Genomic DNA, 19,699 nt, shown 5'->3' with positions numbered 1-19,699 from the left:
TAATTATATACAAAGCCTGGAGTTCAGGGAAACATTTTGAGCAAGAGGTTTATGTTTCTAAATTACATGCATAAAGGTAATACTTGAATGGAAAAACTGGATGAGACTGCCTAGGGAGAAAGTTTGGAGTAAAAAGAAAAAAGGCATAGGATAAAACTTTGAGGTACTCCAACATTTACTGGTTGGGTTTAGGAGGGGACTCTAAAAAGAAGACAGCCAAAGAGGTAAAACAATAGCCAGGAAAATGTAATTCACAGAAGCCAAAGGACTAGTGTTTCAAAAATGAGGGCACGATCAATAATATTAACTATAGCTGAGGCAAAAAAAAAAAAAAAAGTCTGTTTAATTTAACAACATACAACTTACTGGGAACCATATGGAGAGAATGTTTTACTTGTTAGGGAGACAGAATTCAGTCTGGATAGATTGAGAAATGTTTGGGAAGTAAGAGCATAGTGTATAGTAAATGAATATAAAAATAAATGTGGCTCTGAATGGGTGACACATGCTCCATGGCTAAACTCTTAAGGGTTATTATAGGAAATCCATTAACAACTCTAACTGTTTTACTTAATAACCTTAGTTGTCTCTTACAAGGAAAGAGTGCCCAGATTAATCTTTTCACTAGGTGCCAGTTTATTCGTTGAATACTTTAAAAAAAAAAAAAACTAGTTTCATTGTTCAAAGACTGTCTACTCTATTTTTCTCCTACTCACTTATAAACCAGTTTTGCCTTTACACCCTGATAATAATCTAATGATTGTTTCCCTAATATGAGTAAATTTGCATACAAAATAATTTTTTTAAAAACAGGCTAATAAAGGACATGGAAATAGGCCTTTAGAGAGGAATGTGGATCAAATAAGAGATAGAAGAGCATATTTAAAAACTGAAAAGAAGGATAAATTGAATGAGAGAAACTGAATATACAAGAGAGAATAATTAATCAAAGTTCTTGAGAGGGCACGGCAGGGCACAGTGGCTCACGCCTGTAATCCCAGCACTTTGGGAGGCGGAGGCAAGGGAATTGCATGAATCCAGGAGTTCAAGACTAGCCTGGGCAACATGGCAAAACCCCATCTCTACTAAAAAAAATACCAATTAGCCAGGCATGGTGGCTCATGCCCGTGGTCCCAGCTACTTGAGAGGCTAAGGTTGGAGAATCACCTGAGCCCGGGAGGTCAAGGCTTCAGTGAGCCGAGATCAAATCACTGCAGTCCAGCCAGGGCAACCAGAATGAGATCAAGTTCTCAAAAACACAAACAAACAAACAAACAAACACAAAGTCTTGAGAAGGCAAGAGGATATGAAATCCAAAACAGAAGTGAAATAATTAGTCATATGTATAAGAAAGAACAATATATCTGTCTTAACAGGAAAAAAGAAAGAGAAAATGAGTACAGACGTTAATATTGTGTTAGGTAGCAGGAATTGAAGGAGTTCCAACCAACAGCTTGTATTTAGAGCATTCCAAGTGTTTGGTGGCCAGAGCAGTATTTAAAGTAATAATTGGAAAAACAGAAATTTACAGTTCAAGAATAAGTTGCCTAAATTAGTAATTTTTAAAAAGTAATTTAGTTAATGACAAGTTCCAGAGTGTGACTGGAAGTGGAGGCCAAGAGATCTTTGGAGATGAGGAAGTCAAGAAAGTGAGAAGCCAGGGTTTTGGATAGGTCATGTACATTGACAGGACTGAGTGCAAAAGAAGAGTAAAAGTAAACCCATTAATAAAATAATAAAAAGAGGTTGATGGATGAAAAGAAGATGACAAGATGAATTTCCAAAGTTGCAAAGAAGAACACATTTTAAAAGAGGGTAGAGGAATAGTAGACTTCACTCTACCCCTACTTCTCTGGAAGGATAATGACCTCTATGCCATAATCAAAGAATGACTAACACTTTTCCAATGTCAGTCAAATGTATCCTAAAGCAAACAGCATATAGACCATGAAAGTCTTCTGTTCTGGGACCAGAGATAAAAACAATGAGAAGATGCTAGGATATAGTCACAGTTCATGCATTTAAGGTTCTATCTATATTTATCCTTTAAATACCCCCAAATAAACTGGCCTCTTTTCTTTGAAAAGCCTGGGCTTCAAGAGTGTTTAATTGGACTGAACCATAAGTGTGACCAAATGAGAACTAAAATAATACTGTAAATCAGTAAAGCTACCCTGGAAATCATTCTAATATACTGACAGCATATATAAAGTATTTTCCAAAGTAGAATTAAAAGCCCCTAAGGACAGAGACCAGTAGTTCTCAAACTAATGGCAAAGTGCCTGAATCAAAAGTGTAAAAGAACATCATTAAAATAACATATTTCATCTATAGAAAATCAATACATAATTTTATGTCTACACATACATAATCATTTAGCATGATTTTTTAAAATATGGTAGAAATATTTAAAGTGAAAGGTTCTCTCATCACCCTTTTATGTAAATTGGAAAAAATAATAACTTAGTTTCCATTATTCAATTTTAGGAAAAAAAATGTGTCAGTCAAACTTGGAGTATACCAGATATATGCAGGGATATAGGGTGTAGGTCACTGAGAAATATTTTATCCCATCCACTTATTCCTTGTCTACCCAAACCAAAAGGTTACTTTATAACCAACAGTTATTCAAAAATGACTTATACATACTTAACTTATACATAATCCAAATTGCTTTTCAAATGAGTTAAAAAATATTAACTTAACAATTTTAAAACGTTAGACTTACTTCTTCCATCTGATTGACCTGCCACTGAAACCACTTTAAGAAAACAAAAGAGGGACAAAAAAAGAAATAGTGACTACTTAAATTGCACTGATGAAATAAATATCTATATAAATGTGTGTCTGTGTCTCTGAATCTTCATCCATCAAATATCAGCCCTGACCGAAACATCACTTGGGATTCAGAATGGGGCTAATGCACTATACAAATGAACATAAAATTCTTAAATATATAGAGCAGCAAGTATGGAATTCCTTCTACTCCCTTAAAATTTAGAAACCTCTTCTTCATTGGCATGTATTTCTGTGTTAAGTTTTAGTAGGCTTAAGCTGTAATATATTGAACGTACCTTAAAAAGAGATTCCAAAATCTGAAAAATAAAGTTTTAATTAACACATTTAAAATTAGAATGCTTCACAATGTATAATATAATATTTAGTTCAGTCTTTTGCAATTTTCAATCACAAAAATGTACTAAGTATTAAAATATAACTTTATAAATCTGTAGTTGAAACTTAAAATTTTTTATTTACAGACAGTGCTTTTAGTTCACCTTGCATAGACAACTTCTTTCTAGAATTTAAAAATAATTTTTCTTTTTATATATAAAAAGGGAGAAAGAGGGAAAGAGAGACAGAATCTCACTGTCACCCAGGCTTGAGTGCAGCGGTGCACTCATAGCTCACTATAACGTTGAACTCCTGGGCTCAAGTGATCCTCTTGCCTCAGCCTCCTGAGTAGCTAGGACTACATGGGCACACCCCCATGCCTGGCTAATTTTTAATTTTGTTTTTAATAGGGATGGAGTTTGGCCATGTTGCCCAGGCTGGTCTCGAACTCCTGGCCACAAGCAATCCTCCCATGTCAGTCTCCCAAAACACTGAGCATGAGCCATCATGCCTGGCCCTAATATATCTATATTAGGTGGCCCCCAAACAATTCCCAAATTTATTTCATATATTTTCTTAATATAGGTAAGGAGGCTGGGTGGGGTGGCTCATGCCTGTAATCCCAGCACTTTGGGAGGCCAAGGCAGGTGGATCACCTGAAGTCGAGAGTTCAAGACCAGCCTGACCAACATGGAGAAACCCCGTCTCTACTAAAAATACAAAAATTAGCCAGGTGTGGTGGTGCATGCCTGTAATCCCAGCTATTCAGGAGGCTGAGGCAGAAGAATCACTTGAACCCGGGAGGCGGAGGTTGCGGTGAGCCGAGATCACGCCATTGCACTCCAGCCTGGGCAACAAGAGCGAAACTCCATCTTAAAAAAAAAAATGTACATATGTGCATATATATATATGTATATATATATATATATATACATATATATATATATATATATACACACACACACACACACATATATGTAAGGAATAAAATTTAAATTCCTTTCAGAGGAGCATTATATTTTTTTCATACAGCAGCAAGTACAATAACAAAAAGCATCACCTTCCCAACACTATCTTCTCAATACAACTCTGTTCCTGCTAAACGGTCTAGAAAATCAAGATATAAAATATAATACTACTTAATATTTTTAATGAAAAATGCAAATTACTTGTTTGAGAAATTACAAGAGAAACTGACTAAATATACAAAAACCAATAGAAACTGAACTCCACATACACCTACAACCATTCTGTTTTTCACTTTCAGTACAGTATTCAATAAGTTTCATGAGCTATTCAACACTTCCTTATAAAATAGGTTTTGTGTTAGATGATTTTGCCCAACTGCAGGCTAATGTCCAGTGTTCTCAGCACATTTAAGGTAGGGTAGGCTAAGTTACAATGTTTGGTAGGTCAGGTGTATTAAATGCACTTTCACCATATGAAAAATTCAACTTATGATGGGTTTATCAGTATGTAACTCCCTCATAAGTTGAGGAGCATCCATACACAGTTCAAAATATCAGTATTTACCATTTAAATATCTAATGTTAAAGTGATTACATTTGCTACAAAAACAAAAACCCCACCCTATCAAATTGGGTAAAAGTTTTCAATTACATTATTAAAGTAAAATGTTACTACGTGCATTCAGGGAGTAACATAAGATTGAACAAAAATTAAACTAGATAAATTAAATTTATCTTCCGCAACACTAACTCTAGATCTGTGGTTCAAAAAGTAAGGAGCCACAGCAACAGCATCAGCACCACCTACAAGCATACTTATTAGTACTGAAAATTCTCAGGCCCCACGCTACCCTACTAAATCAGAAATTCTAGAAGTGGGACTAACAATTTGTGTTGTAACTAGACCTGCAGGTGATTGCTTTGCATGCTAAAGTCTGAGAATCACTAAGCTAAATAAGAAAGCATAAATCTACGCAAAAAGTGCTGAGATCCTTCAGAAAATATACCAAAGCAAATTAATGTCTGTGTCAGAAGAAAAATATTTTCAGCTACGTAAGTGTTTAGAAATAATGTCCACTAAAGCACATTATACCTAGGAATAACTAATTCTTTCCACTGTCAAGAAAGATTCCGGGGTTCTCAAAACTTCCCTTCCTGCACTGGAACCTGATGGGAAACTTTAGCGTATATCAATTCAACCACTCATTGTAGCCATAGTTCTACAATAATTTAAACCACTCCTAGTTTAACGAGAACAGTGCCTTTCTCAATTACTGAGGAAACCCACAGCATCAATTACTGATACTGCTAAATCTAGATCATTGTTGATAAAAATGAGTGAAAAATAAAAACTGATCCACTGTGAAATGCCTTTTTATTTTGTAATGATTTGTTTAATCATTTACTTACTGATAAGTAGACATTATCTATATAATCTAGATAATCCTTCATGTGATTAAATACACATATACGTCAGGTATACATGATCCAAATTTTGCCCCTGTTTGAAATTTCTCTTGCCCCTCTCTTTATGAATTATTTATATACAGAGCTTATAAATTTAATATAGGTGAATTTATCAATATTGCCTTTTATGATTTGTATTTGTTTTGTGATTGTTTCTTGCTCCAGGTCATATACTTACATCATCAGTATCATATTTGATCATATATCAAATTAGTTTTTTCCTTTATAAATAACCAGTTGTCCCAAAGCCATTTATTATACTGCTGGCTCTGTCATCAACAAAATTTTCCATATATAAAAGGGTCAATATCTGAGACTTTGTTCAATTTCATCAGTTCATCCAGGCTTGCACCAAAAGCACATAATCATAATTGATATAGCTGCATAATGAATCTTGATATCTGTTAGGGTAGGTCCTTTGGCCTTGTTCATTTTCTTCAGGACTCACTTGGTTATTCTTGGTCTACTGAAATGCTATACATATAAAATTCAAAGTCAATTGTAAATTTGTATCAAGGAAAAAAACTATTAGGGTATTTGAAGAGTGCTAACAGCAAAAAAAAAAAAAAAAAAAAAAAAAAATGTGCAGCAGGGAAGTCCAAAGGCTTATGCTCCAATTTTGTTAGAACTCTGAAAAACAGTTAAAGATTTAAAGCAACCAAGCAATGCCACATCAATAAAATGTGGCTTGAACACCACAAGAGAACTGTGTGGTATTTTAACTCGGTCTTGCCCCACCCCTTCCTTGAGCACAGTAGCAGTCTTAAAAACAGCAACCCTCATTTTGAGTGGTTCTGGAGAGAGCATAGCAGACATATTCCCAAGAAATTGTGTTACTGTTTTGAGCTCTCTAGAGGTTCCCACTTTTGAGCTCTCTAGAGGTTCCCACTTTTGAGCTCTCTAGAGGTTCACACTAAACTGAGTTAGTTTCACCTAACTCAGAACTCTCCTAGGGAAGAAAAGCAACTAAGTGGAGGGCCTCAAAAGTGTCCCTGTTTGCAGACAACATGATTATATACATATCATATACATAGAAGACTCCACCCAAAAACTTCTTAGAATTAATGAATAAATTCAGTAAAGCTGCAAAATATAAAATCAACATATAAAAATCAGTGGCATGTTTATATACTAGCTGAAAAAAAGAAATCAAGAGACCAATCCCATTTATAATAGCTACAAAATAATATATAAGATACCTAGAAATAAATTTAACCAAGGAGGTGAAAGGTCTCTACAATGAAAATTATAAAATACTGATGAAAGAAATTAAAGAAGACACACACAAAAAAACAAAAGACATCCTATGTTTGTGGATTAGAAGAATTAATATTAATACTGGGCTTAAGCCCAGTATCATTTTGACAGGGATTTCACTGAATCTGCAGATAGCTTTGAGTAGTATGGTCATTTTAACAATATTAATTATTAATACCATGACATTCTTTACAGAAATAGAAAACAAATCCTAAAAATTCATGTGGAACCACAAAAGACCCTAAGTAGCCAAAGCAATCCTAAGCAAAAAGAAGAAAGCTGGAGGCAACACACTATCTGACTTCAAAATATACTACAAAGTTAGCCAGGCATCATGGTTCATGCCTGTAATCCCAGCAGCTTGGGAAGCTGAGGCAAGAGGATCCCTCAAGCCCAGGAGTTCGAGGCTGCAGTGAGCTATGATTGTGCCACTGCACTCCAGCCTGGCCAACAAAGTGAGACCTTGTCTCTTTAAAAAAAAAAAAAAAAGCACACACACACACACACACACATGCAAACACACACACAACATACTCTTCAAAGCTATAGTAGCCACAACAGCATGGTACTGGCACAAAAACAGACACACAGACCAATGGAACCCAATAGAGAACCCAAAAAATAAATCCACTTATTTATAGCCAACAAATTTTCAACAAAAGCACCAAGAACATTGGGAAAAAGACAGTCTTTTCAATAAATGGTGCTGGGAAAACTGGATATCCATAGGCAGAAGAATGAAACTAGACCCCAAAATCTCACCATATGCAAAAATCAGCTCAAAAACAGCTTAAAGCCTTTAATGTAAAACCCAAAACTATGAAACTACTGGAAGGAAACATAGAGGAAATGCTTCAGGACATTGGTCTGAGAAAATATTTTATGCATAGGACCTCAAAAGCATAGGCAACACAAGCAAAAACAGACAAGTGGTATTATATCAAACTAAAAAGCTTCTGCACAGCAAAGGAAACAACCAACAGAGTGAAAAGACAATCTTCAGAATGAAAAAAGATATTTGCAAAAAAAAATTCATCTAACAAGTGATTAATATTCAAAATATATAAGGAACTCAGACAACTCAATGGCAAAAAAAAACTGATTTTAAAATAGGTAAATGGCTTGAATATTTCTCAAAAGAAAGATACACAAATGGCTAAAAAGTATATGAAAAAAATGCTCATCATCACTAATCATCAGGGAAATGTAAATCAAAACCACAATGAGATATCATCTCACCTCAGTTAGAATGGCTATTATCAAAAAGAAAAAAGATAATAAATACTGACAAGGATGCAGAGAAAAGGGAACATATATACACTTTTGGTGGAAATTTAAACTAGTAGAATGATAATGAAAAATAGCATGGAGTCTCCTCAAAAAACTACCAATAGAACTACCATATGATCCAGCAATTCCACTACTGGGTGTATATCCACAGGAAAGGAAATCAGTACACTGAAGAGACATCTGTACTTCCATGTTTATTGCAGCACTAAACTGCAATCGCCAATATATATAATCAACCTAAATGTCCATCAATAGACAAATGAATAAAGAAAATGTGGCATATAGGGGGAATGGACTACTATTCAGCCACTTTCAGTTCCAAAAAAGATTTCACTCTTAATTCCAAAAAAGAATTAAATCCTGTCATTCACAGCAACATGGAAAGCCCTATAGGATATTATATGAAGAGAAATAAGTCAGGAACAGAAAGATAAATATTTCATGTTCTTGCCAATATGCAAATGCTAAAACAAGCTGATCTCATAGAAGCAGAGAGTAGAATCATGATTACTAGAGGTTGGAAAGGGTAGGGGTGAGGGAGGATAGGGAGAGGTTGGTTAAACGATAAAAAATTACAGCTAGATAGGAGAAATAAGTTATAGTGTTCTACAGCACTATAGGGTGACCACAGCTAACAACGGTTTATTATATATATATATATTTTATATATTTTGAATGTTCCCACCACAAGGAAATGCTAGGTGTTTGACGTGATGAATATGCTAATTACTCTGATTTGACCACTACCCATTGTATGTATCAAAATATCGCTATGTACCCCATAAATATGTATAATTATTACATGCCAATTTAAATACTATTGCCAGAAAAAGCAATAAATTAAGTGTATTCTATTATATGAAAAAAAAGACAATTGCAACAATTCCACTGTAGTCTTACATTTTACTCATAGCTAATTGATAAGGCTTATGGTACTAAACCATGATTGTGTGGTCATTCTCTGTAATGGCCAATCATTCTCTCTTTGATGCTGATTGCCACAACCTTACTATTTATTAACTACCTTGTAACTACTTACATGCTCTTAATGAGGGAATATGGCAGATTCATTAAGATTCACACAACTATTGAAGAATTAATTCAAAGTTCATGTCTTATTTGTGGTGGTTCAGTGGCATAATCTTTGCATTTGGGCATAGTAAAAACCCTTGATGATGATTAAAAAAAAAGAATAAAAAATAAATAAATAATGTTTTCCAATGCCATTTATAATTTCTTAAGACACTGAATCTAGATTAATGTTGGCTGACTGGATAGCAGATTCAATTTTCAACAACCAGTACAAGTTTGATATTTTATACTTGACAGTATATACAGAATACATACATTTTGTTCTTCTTTAAGTGCTTCTTCTAGCTGAGCTGCAAATTGCGAACAATATGTCAAGAATGAATTCATATCATCCCCAACCTTTTGAAAAGAATAATAAAACATAAAGTTACATTTAAGAATCCATATGCATGTCTGTCTTTTTCTAGCATATTTACTTTTTGAAAAATTTTAATTTTGTGTAATTTATGTCCCTTCAAACATTTACAGCAAGAAGCCATGCTTCAAATGCCATACTAGCAAATTCTCCCAAAGAAAAAATATGAAAGAAAGTACACTTTGGGAAGTGGCCCATCAGTGACATATACCCAGCCATGTCTCTCCTCTCATTCATCTCTACACAGTTCCAGAAAATCCAGCATCCCAGCCTCATAGTACTGAAATTTCTGGGTGGCCCAATAAAAGGTAATCATTACCATAAAAAAAAAAATCTCTTGGTGTTAGAAAATGACTACTACCTATGATACCTAACTGTATAATTGCCATGAACTGCAGTCTTCTGCTCTCACCTAATGGGCAATACACAACTTTGAGGAAAAAATAGTTACAGCTTAAATGTCATAACGATCAAATCCCTTCTAGTAAAGCAGTGATTCGTAAATCAGAGAATTGACTCATGATAAACAAATATTACAGGCTTATATACAGTTAGGATTTTCATAGAGTGGTTCTCCATGAAGAATATATTCCCTGAGCATTACATTTAAAGATACTGAGCCAGGCGCGGTGGCTCACACCTGTAATCCTAGCACTTTGGGAGGCTGAGGCAGTTGGATCACTTGAGGTCAGGAGTTCAAGACCAGCCTGGCCAGCATGGCAAAATCCCGTCTCTACTAAAAAGACAAAAAAATTAGCTGGGCGAGGCGCCGCACACCGGTAATCCCAGCTACGTGGGTGGCTGAGGCACGAAAAGCGCTTGAATCCAGGAGGCAGCAGTTCCAGTGAGCCAAGATCACACCACTGCACTCCAGCCTAGGTGACACAGCGAGACTCTGTCTCAAAAAAATAAAAATAAAATAAAATAAATAAATAAATAAATAAATAAATAAATATGCTGAGAGGCTCACATACTTCTTGTCACAATAAAGACCTATAATCATATAGGAGACGGGGAAAAAAAACTAAATCATCCAGCAGAGAGGAAAATGAACAGATTAGTGTTACTAATCACAAATATAAAGAGAAACTATTAGCCTACTTCTTCCACCCACATTCAGGTGCCACAAATATAGAGAAGATAGAGAAATACAGAGAAGATAGAAATTGATTTGACCAAGTTTATAATGTAACCAAATGAGACCAATAAAGCAGAACAGGGCAAGAGAGTTAAGTACGTGTGAAAGGGAGTGATGATAATAGTGGACCATGCTATTTAAGCTGGGTAAGTAAGGGCACAAGGAGGATTTCGGACACTAAAAAGGCAGCAAGACCAATGGATTATGTTTCCCTGTGAAATCAAAGGATTTTTGGAGACAGAATATTGGACAGACTGAGTGGGAAAGACAGGAGGTGGTGGCCACAGATTAGGATGACTGAAATTCAAATTATGAAACAGTTATGGTAAGGACTACAGGATATCACTTTGTCCATTAGTGGTTGATGTGAAATAAAATACAAGATCATTGGAGGAAAGAAATTCAGTAAAATAAAGGGGATATCCGAAGGGCTGATTTCTTCAATTTTGTCAGTATTGGAGACCACAGGAAAGTGAACTTAATTTCATTTTATTTTATTTTTTTGGTGGTTTTTTTTTTAACTTTTGTTTTAGATTTAGTGGGTACATGTGCAGGTTTGTTACCTGGATATACTGCGTGATGCTGAGGTTTGGGGTACCAATGATCCCGTCACCCAAGTACTGAGCACAGTACCCGATAGCTAGTTTTTCAACCCTTACCCCGCCTCCCTCCCACCTCTAGTCATCCCAGTTTCTATTGGACTTCAATTTCAGATTTTAGTTTTGGTTCTTTGATTCATTCCTGGCAGGGCTTCAAAACATAATAACCACAAGGTCATGCAGGATAAGGATTGTGATTACATAGTCCTTTTAATAGTTGGGTAATCACCACCACAATAAAAATATAAAACATTTCCATCATTTCAAAAAGCTTCACTGTACTCCTTTGCAGTCAATTCTCCCCTCCTACCTTAGCTCAAGACAAACACTGGTCCTTTACTACAGTTTTCCCTTTCCCAGAATTTCATATAAATAGAATCATATGATATGTAGCCTTATTTATTTAGCTTCCCCACATCCTAATGTTTTTGAGATTCATCTACATTGTTCTATGTGTCAGTAGTTTGTTCCCTTTATTGTGAAGAGTATTTCATTGTATGCTATACCACAATTTGCTTATCCATTCACCAGTTAGTAAATATTTGGGTTGCTGGATTCAGTAGCTATTCTGGCAGTTACGAACGAAACTTCTATAAACATTTATATACAAGACTTTGTGAGGATGTATGTGTTCATTAATCTTGGATAACCACTTAAGAGTGGAATTGGTGGTTATCTTTTAAGTATATGTTAAACTTTGTGAGCAGCTGTCAAACTGTTTCTCAACATAGCAGTACCATTTGTGTTCCCACCAGCTCTGTATGAGAGTTCCTGTGGCCCCATATCTTTACTAAAATGTGATTATTCTCTATCTTTAAAATGTTGGTCATTCCTAATGGGTATGTAGAACTCCTTTTCTGCAAACTTCTTGGCAAAATTCAGGTCAAGAGGGATTTGGTTGGGTTGAGTAATTTTCTAAGAGGATCATTTTCATGGATGGGAAATTCATTCTGAGGATATAATAAGTACTCCAAAAGAAAATATTTTAAATTTATATTTTTAAAAAGAAAATCGACCCTTTTCAGTGTTAATGTCTCTATATTAGGGTTGCATATACTTACAGATAAAGATAATTCTTCATGTTCATGCTTTACAAATGGTTCTTCTCCATTCTGATCGCAATGTCCATAGGTTTCTTCCAAAGTGGAAACAACCTGTAAAAAAAAAATAAAAGCCAATTAGATACTTTAATAGTTTAAAATTAATTATATTAAATGTAAATAATATTTAATCAATTATGCCAGGACCTTTTTACCAGTAAGACTTATTTCTTCCAGTGCCATAAACTTAAATTTTTCATCCCATACCCAATTTCATGTCATCATGAGGAGAAAGCAATATTCCTTAACCCTACTCCCTAGCAATAGAGAGATGCTCTATGACTCTACCATTTCTGTGTTGATAGCTATCTTAAAACGGAGAGGGCCTGTCCATGAGTGGTTGAAGCATTAAGTAGAGTTTTCCTCAAAGTCTGCCTTGACTTTCTCCTCTGAAGAGAGTTAGGGGAAATAGAAAGATGGAGACCAGAAAGCAATGAATTTTTAAAGAAAATTATCTGGCCTAACCCCTCAAACTTTCAACAAACTTGTACTGTACAAGTTTGATGTACTATATATTTTTTTATATTTGTGCTCTTCCTCATTGTTATTTGGTACATTTACAATTCAATTCTGGATTGCAGTGAAAAAAATAGAAACTCAGAGAAAGGAAATTTTTTCCCCACATCAAGAGCTAAAGTTTCAGCCAGGCATGGTGCTCATGCCTGTAATCCCAGCACTTTGGGAGGCCAAGGCGGGTGGATCACCTGAGGTCAAGAGTTTAAGACCAGCCTGACCAGTATGGTGAAACCCCATCTCTACTAAAAGTACAAAAATTAGCCAGGCATGGTGGCATGCTCCTGTAGTCCCAGCTACTCGGGAGACTGAGACAGGAAAATTGCTTGAAACCTGGAGGCAGAATTTGCAGTGAGCCAAGATCATGCCACGGCACTCCAGCCTGGGCGAAAGAGCGAGACTTCATCTCAAGAAACGAAAAAAGAGCTAAAGTTTCTGAAATGCAGAGTTTAACATAGTAGAAATGCAGGACTTAGGAAGGCCTGCTTGCAAGGTTGGCCTTAACCTGGCATCTGAGATCCTGGATTTCAGGAGGGTTCTCCCCATTCACTGATAGAAGCAGCTCACTGTCCCTAAACTGTTTGTATAACATTGTTTATACTGAACCTCCTTTCCTTGTGAGAGTCTGAAATTTTCGTACATGCTAAGCACAGAGTGAATAGTAAACAACCCCCAATAAATCCCAGGGCACTGAGTTTCTAATGATTTTCCCTGGCAGACATTTCATATGTGTTGTCACAATTCATTGCTAAAGAAATTAAGCATCTCCTGGGTGACTCTAAAGGGAAAAGACTCTTGCAAGCTTAGATCTGGTTTTCTCCTAATTTCACCTCATGTGCCTACTGTAATAAATCTTAGCCATCGGTATGACTATATGTGGAGTCATGTGAGTCCTCCTAGCACATCACTAAACCTGGGGTGATCATGGGGGCCCTGCAACACAGAAACTAACAAGCCTCTTACCATCTTCAGATGTTTGATAATTTTTCCGATCATTTCATCTTCTGGTAGTAAGTTCTTTGTCTTACTCGATGGAATGGGCAAAGCATACCGTAAAATGGATTCTCCTGTTGGTGGAGATCTTAGGACCATTGGTTCAATTTTATCATGAATTAATTTTGCATTATGTTTTTCCTTTAGCTCAGGTGATAATGGTAAATTATGTAGTCCTTTTTTAGTAGTTAATGCTGGAACATTTGCCGATTTGTTACTGGTGGTCAACAGATGCTTTACTGGTTTCATTTTGTTACTGACTTGGCTTCCAAATTACAGATGAAAAAAACTTATTCCTCCCTGTGAAAAAAAATAAGAGATTCAGAGAAAACACCAGGCTCTAATTAAATTCACATACTACATTTCTCTTTTTCTGATGGCTTTAGCAATTTGCTCAGAGTACATTAAGCAACTTCTGGAAGCTATGATTACACTTCAGGCTTTTTTGAGTCACAGTAACTTAAACAAAACGAAGAAATATAGAATGCAGTTATCACAATATCTAATTTATATCAATAAGTTATTTAAACTTAAGCATAATAACAGTAAAAGCTCCATAATTTTTAATCTAAGGTATGCCCTTTATATACATCATTATTCCATTTTACATGGGAGTAGAGTAAACTGAGCTCAGACAAGTTAAGTGACTAACCAAGAGTCACACAGCTAGTAAGTGTTAAATTTTTCAGAATTACAACATAGGTCAAATTGGCTACAAATCTTGCTTCTTTTCTATACCCTTTGCTCTCCATAAGGAAAATGTTGGATTATTTTACCTATAGGACTTATAGCATTTCCTGCAAGTAAGGAGGGTTGTAGATGAAAACATTTCAGATTTAAAATGATAAAAGGATTATCAATTGCTATGAAGATGGCAAATCCCAAAATCAACTCTGAAAAAATGAAAAATAGAAAGGAAAATATTCCTAACAACAGAAAACAACAAGAACAAAAAATTTTTTAACTTAAGAAACCCCTAAACAAAGGCTCATTTGTTTATGGGGCATTTAGAATGGGAATATACGGACTGAAGAAGCCAGAAGCAACGAGAGAATACATTCAGGAAAAAGAAAAATTACAATTTCTTCCTATCTTTCCCCCATATTTGAGCTAATATATGTCCTTAATATACATCTTTATTCCCACAGGAGCAGTAGCCTTGGCCCAAGGTATCATTAGTGTAATATTAAGGCAGCATCAAAGCTATGCTAAGATAAGGAAGTATAAACTAGATAGGTCTTGGGCTTTTATTCCTCTATTTTTCTCTCCCCTCAAAGCTAAGACTCAGGACAATGCCACCTCCCAAATAGTGTTAAGAGTATATGCCTAACCGTGGGAATTGTCAGGTACAATGGCAAAATTAAGATAGAGTAATGTAACACTGGTACTCTGTTATCTGAAGCTCTCTACACTTTGGCTTGTCCCATTGTTATGTGTTGAACTGTGTCCCTGAAAAAGATATGTTCAAGTCCTAAGCCCCCAGCACTTTGAATGTGACCTTACTTGAAAATAGGGTCTTTGCAGATATGACAAAGTTAAGATGTGGTCATACTGAATTAAGGTGGGTCCTAAATCCAATTACTGGTGTCACTATAAGAAGACCATATAGCGACAGGCAGAAATTAAAGTGATGCAGCTGCAAGCTAAGGAATATCAAGGATTGCTAGCATCCACCAGAAGCTTGTAAAAACCAATGAAAGATTCTTCCCTAGAGCCCTTAGCAGGGAACATGGTTTTGCTGAAACCTTGATTTCAGTTTTCTGGCCTCCAGAACCATGAAAGAATAAATTTCTGTTGTTCTAAGCCACCCACTTTGTGGTACTTTGTTACAGCAGCACTAGTGTCTTAGTCTGTTGAGGCTGCTATAACAAAACACTATAAATTGCATAGCTTATAAACAAGAAACATTTATTTCTCACAGTTCTGGAGATTGGAAAGTCCAACGACAAGGCACCAGCAGAGTTGGTGTCTGATGAAAGCCCAGACGCTAAATAAATGTTGCCTACTCTCTGTGTCCTCACATGATGGAAGGAGCAAGGGAGCTTTTTCAGACCTCTTTTATAAGGGCAGTAGTCCCATTTATGAGGGTGCTGCACTCATAACCTAATCACCTCCTAAAGGCCCCACCTCCTAATTCTACCATATGTTGAATTGGGTCCCAATTTCAACATGCGAATTTGGGGATGACACAAGCATTCAGACCACAGGAAATATTTAGCACTTCGAAAACAAATACACCCACATACTTTCCCTAACTTCCAGGAGGAACACAGGCTGAGAACTGGCTTTTGATCATTTCCTAATAATAGATTACCAGACAAACAGGGGACACCCCCAGGGGTATATGAGCTCACAGGCCAAAACAACTTGACAACGGAAAAAAAAACCATTAAAAAATAAAAAATAGGCCAGGCGCATTGGCTCACGCCTGTAATCCCAGTACTTTGGGAGGCAGAGGCGGGTGGATCCCAAGGTCAGGAGTTCGAGACCAGCCTGGCCAATATGGTAAAACCCTGTCTCTATTAAAAATACAAAAAATTATCCAGGCGTGGTGGTGGGCACCTGTAGTCTCAGCTACTCGGGAGGCTGAGGCAGGAGAATCGCTTGAACTCGGAGGTAGAGGTTGCAGTGAGCAGAGACTGCACCACTGCACTCCAGCCTGGGGGATGGAGTAAGACTCCATCTCAAATAAATAAATAAATATAAAAATAATAAACTAAAAAACATGTTTTAGTTGTAGAATCATTAAAACAGAGAGACTAAAAATACATAAACACACAGAAAGAGAATATCAGCCATATGAAACAGGTATAAGAGGAATTTTTAAGACCCAAGTGAAGATATTAAAAAATGAAAAATATAACAGATAAAACAACACGAGTAATCACAAAATAATACTGCTGAAGAATAAAAACTGATGCAAAGAATAAAATCAGTGGAGGAATAATCCAGCTGAAGAATAAAAAATAATGCAAAGATCAGCAGCATTTATCACATATTCCTGAACATTAATAAAATACACATCAATAGTGATAAGTATTAAAAGCTAGTATCAGGTTTGAAAAAAATATAAATAATTAGCAATTCTACTGAAAATGAGAAAATAAAGGCCTATATATTTGTTAATAACAATAAACATGATTCAATTTTTGGAGAAGCAGTATCTAATGTTCAGAAGATCATCCGATATATATGAAGAGACCAATAATAGGATTTTTTTTATTTGCCAGAAACCATGGCAAAAGTTGATGGTATCCTGTTAGCACATTTATGCAAAACATAAATATCAATACCAAATAGTATAACATACTATTTTAGAGAATAAAATATAAAAACAAATAATAAAACTTACAGATGTTATAAATAAAACCACTTTGAATAAAGTTTTAAAAACTAATAATTTCTCAATTATTTTGGACATATGGACAGCAGATAACAATTGTTGATGTAATTATGGATTTCCAAAATGCAGATATTTCAATATGTGAACATTTATTAGGATTTTAACAAGTAGATGACACCCCGCTGGAAAAGAATCATATATATGTGTAAGAGACTACTCATAAAAAATTAAAATTAAAAATATATAATATATATGGGGCCAGGGATACATGCCCTTAAATATGTCTGACAAGCACAAACAGAAAATTCTCAAAAATAAAAATTCTAAACTAGGTTGTGAACAATAGAACGAAAATATCTTAATAGCACTGAAAATGTTTATTTCATCCAAGAATTATACAACTGCTTTTTTGTTTCGATGAAACACTATAGTTAACACTATAGTTAACTGAATGCATAGTTGCCAAGCATAATTTTTAAATCATAATCAAATATGACTTTGCAAAAATAACTTGTCACTAAAAATCCATTTGAAGGAAGAACACAATGCTCTCTTGGAAATTACTGATGATAATAGTAAATAAACACATTATAGAACTTGAACCAAAGCCCCTGCAAAATATTCCCTTTTACATTTTTCGTTTTTTTGAGACAGAGTTTCGCTCTTGTCGCCCAGGCTGGAGTACAATGGCACAATCTTGCTCACTGCAAACTTTGCCTCCCAGGTTCAAGCGATTCTCCTGCCTCAGCCTCCCAAGTAGCTGGGATTACAGGTGCCCACTGCCACGTCCGGCTAATTTTTGTATTTTTAATAGTGACAGGGTTTCACCACGTTGGCCAAGCTGGTCTCGAACTTCTGACCTCAGGTGATCCTCCCACCTCAGCCTCCCAAAGTGCTGGGATTACACGCCTGAGCCACTGTGCGCCCTGCTCCCTTTTACATTTTTCTCATGCCGATTGTGACACGATGCTTTCAGTAAAAATTAATGATACAAGCAAAATGATGCAGAAACCAAGATTAAATTTACAAAATTGAAAAGCCTCAAAAGAATTCTGAATAAATTACATTGCCAAAGAAACTCCATCAAAACCTTCAGGTCCAAGCAAACATCAAAAATTCCATCAAAACCATCAGGACCAGGAAACAGGACGTAAGAAGAGTGGCCAATGAGCCAATAAGTAAAACCAAAAGGTTATATATACATAGAAAGCAAGGAAAAGAAAATATCACCAAGGACCGAGTGATGAACTACGTCAAATGCTGAGTCAAGTAAAATGAAGACTAAGCTGACACTGGATTTGGCAACATGGAGGTAGGTCATTTGTAACCTGAAGAACGGCAACAATTTCAGTAGAATGATCGAGGTAAATATCTGACTTACCGTTCAAAAGAGAGGAAGTAGGAACAATGAATTGAATATAAGCACTGTAGAGAAATTTTACTATAAAAGGGAGTAAAGAAATACAGTATTACTAGAAGAAAACATGGTCAAGAGGAAAGTTCGATGGAAAAAAGAACAAGTGTATATGCTGTTATGGATTGCATTGTGTCCTCTCTCCCCAAAAAAGTGTGAGGGAGGGAGGGAGGGAGGGAGGGAGGGAGGAAGGGAAGAGGGGAAGGAAGGAAGGGAGGGAGGGAGGGAGGCAGGCAGGCAGGCAGGCAGGCAACGCTCACTTGGTGCAAAAAAAAAGAACCTGACAAATGCTCCGATGAAGTTCACATAAATACAAAAATAGTCACACGCAATGAATACTCGTATTAGCAAGCAAATATTTAAGGACTTTACATATTTAATTCATTTATCCCTCCTAACAATGCTAGGAAGTGGATGTCAGCATTACTTCGCCCAAGTGCATCCGTCCCTTTCCGCCACCACGACAAATGTTTTCTGGTTTCATCCTTCAAGGATTAACTTACATTCATTTCAAATCCTTTAATGATAAAGTGTACAAAATAGAGGAGAGCGGCAGGGGTTGGCAGGGGACGTAGGGAAAGGATGATTTGCCTTCGATCCTACATCCTGCATAAAAAGCAGCACAACCGCCACGGAGGCAGCCAGGCAGCGGGAAAACTAAGTGCAAAGCCAGGACTCTCCCGAAACCCTCAGGTCCTGCTAAGGGAGCCGCTCCCGAGGCTCCCCGCCCTGTGTACCTGCTGAGACTGTGGGAAGTCGGGTGACTGGGCGGTTTGGCCTTGCTGGCTCTAAGGTGAAAAACTATTTGCCTGAGGAAGATGACAATTCCGAGCCTGCCAGACTTCCTTCGAGACGGAAGCCTGAAAACTCCTCAGACTCCAGCACCTCCCTTTTACAAACTGACGTTTGTGCTGAAAGAAAAGGCCCGGCCTCTGCGCCCCCGGGCGGCAGCAAAGACCGCCGGGCACCCGCCGCCGGCGCCGGATGGGGCCGTTGAAGCCACGTCCCAGGCGCCCGACGCCACGACGCCTTGGCGCCGCCGGCGTCGCTGACGCT

General features: G+C 36.5%; 1 protein-coding gene across 41 annotated transcripts in view, besides 1 other annotated feature; it reads right to left on the bottom strand.

Annotated features, from left to right (window-relative positions):
• Window positions 1–19,699, bottom strand: part of CCDC7 (coiled-coil domain containing 7) — a 439,541-nt gene that overhangs the window by 417,087 nt on the left and 2,755 nt on the right. For 30 of the 41 annotated variants that reach the window (NR_109826.2, NM_001395015.1, XM_011519667.1 and 27 more), the window contains exons 1-6: window positions 19,381–19,638; window positions 13,857–14,186; window positions 12,342–12,434; window positions 9,444–9,527; window positions 3,075–3,095; window positions 2,729–2,761 (exon numbers count right to left, since the gene is read on the bottom strand). Coding sequence is in view for 36 of the 41 variants with exons in the window: in NM_001395015.1 (NP_001381944.1) it covers window positions 2,729–2,761; window positions 3,075–3,095; window positions 9,444–9,527; window positions 12,342–12,434; window positions 13,857–14,135 (510 nt within the window). In the remaining 5 variants the exon portion in view is untranslated. Of the gene's footprint in view, window positions 1–2,728; window positions 2,762–3,074; window positions 3,096–9,443; window positions 9,528–12,341; window positions 12,435–13,856; window positions 14,187–18,610; window positions 19,639–19,699 lie in introns of those variants that run through there. The other 11 variants (NR_109827.2, NM_001321115.2, NM_145023.6 and 8 more) reach the window with 8 other exon arrangements.
• Window positions 19,468–19,697: a silencer, noted in NCBI's record as "silent region_2289". NCBI's record gives its function as "represses an Ori minimal core promoter by ATAC-STARR-seq in GM12878 lymphoblastoid cells {active_cell/tissue: GM12878}" and the evidence as "EXISTENCE:reporter gene assay evidence [ECO:0000049][PMID:35858748]".

This window comes from Homo sapiens, chromosome 10 (genome assembly GCF_000001405.40).
Source record: "Homo sapiens chromosome 10, GRCh38.p14 Primary Assembly".
Taxonomy (NCBI): domain Eukaryota; kingdom Metazoa; phylum Chordata; class Mammalia; order Primates; family Hominidae; genus Homo; species Homo sapiens.
Note: the sequence above shows the minus strand (reverse complement) of the source record. Positions and strands in the feature narration are given on the sequence as shown.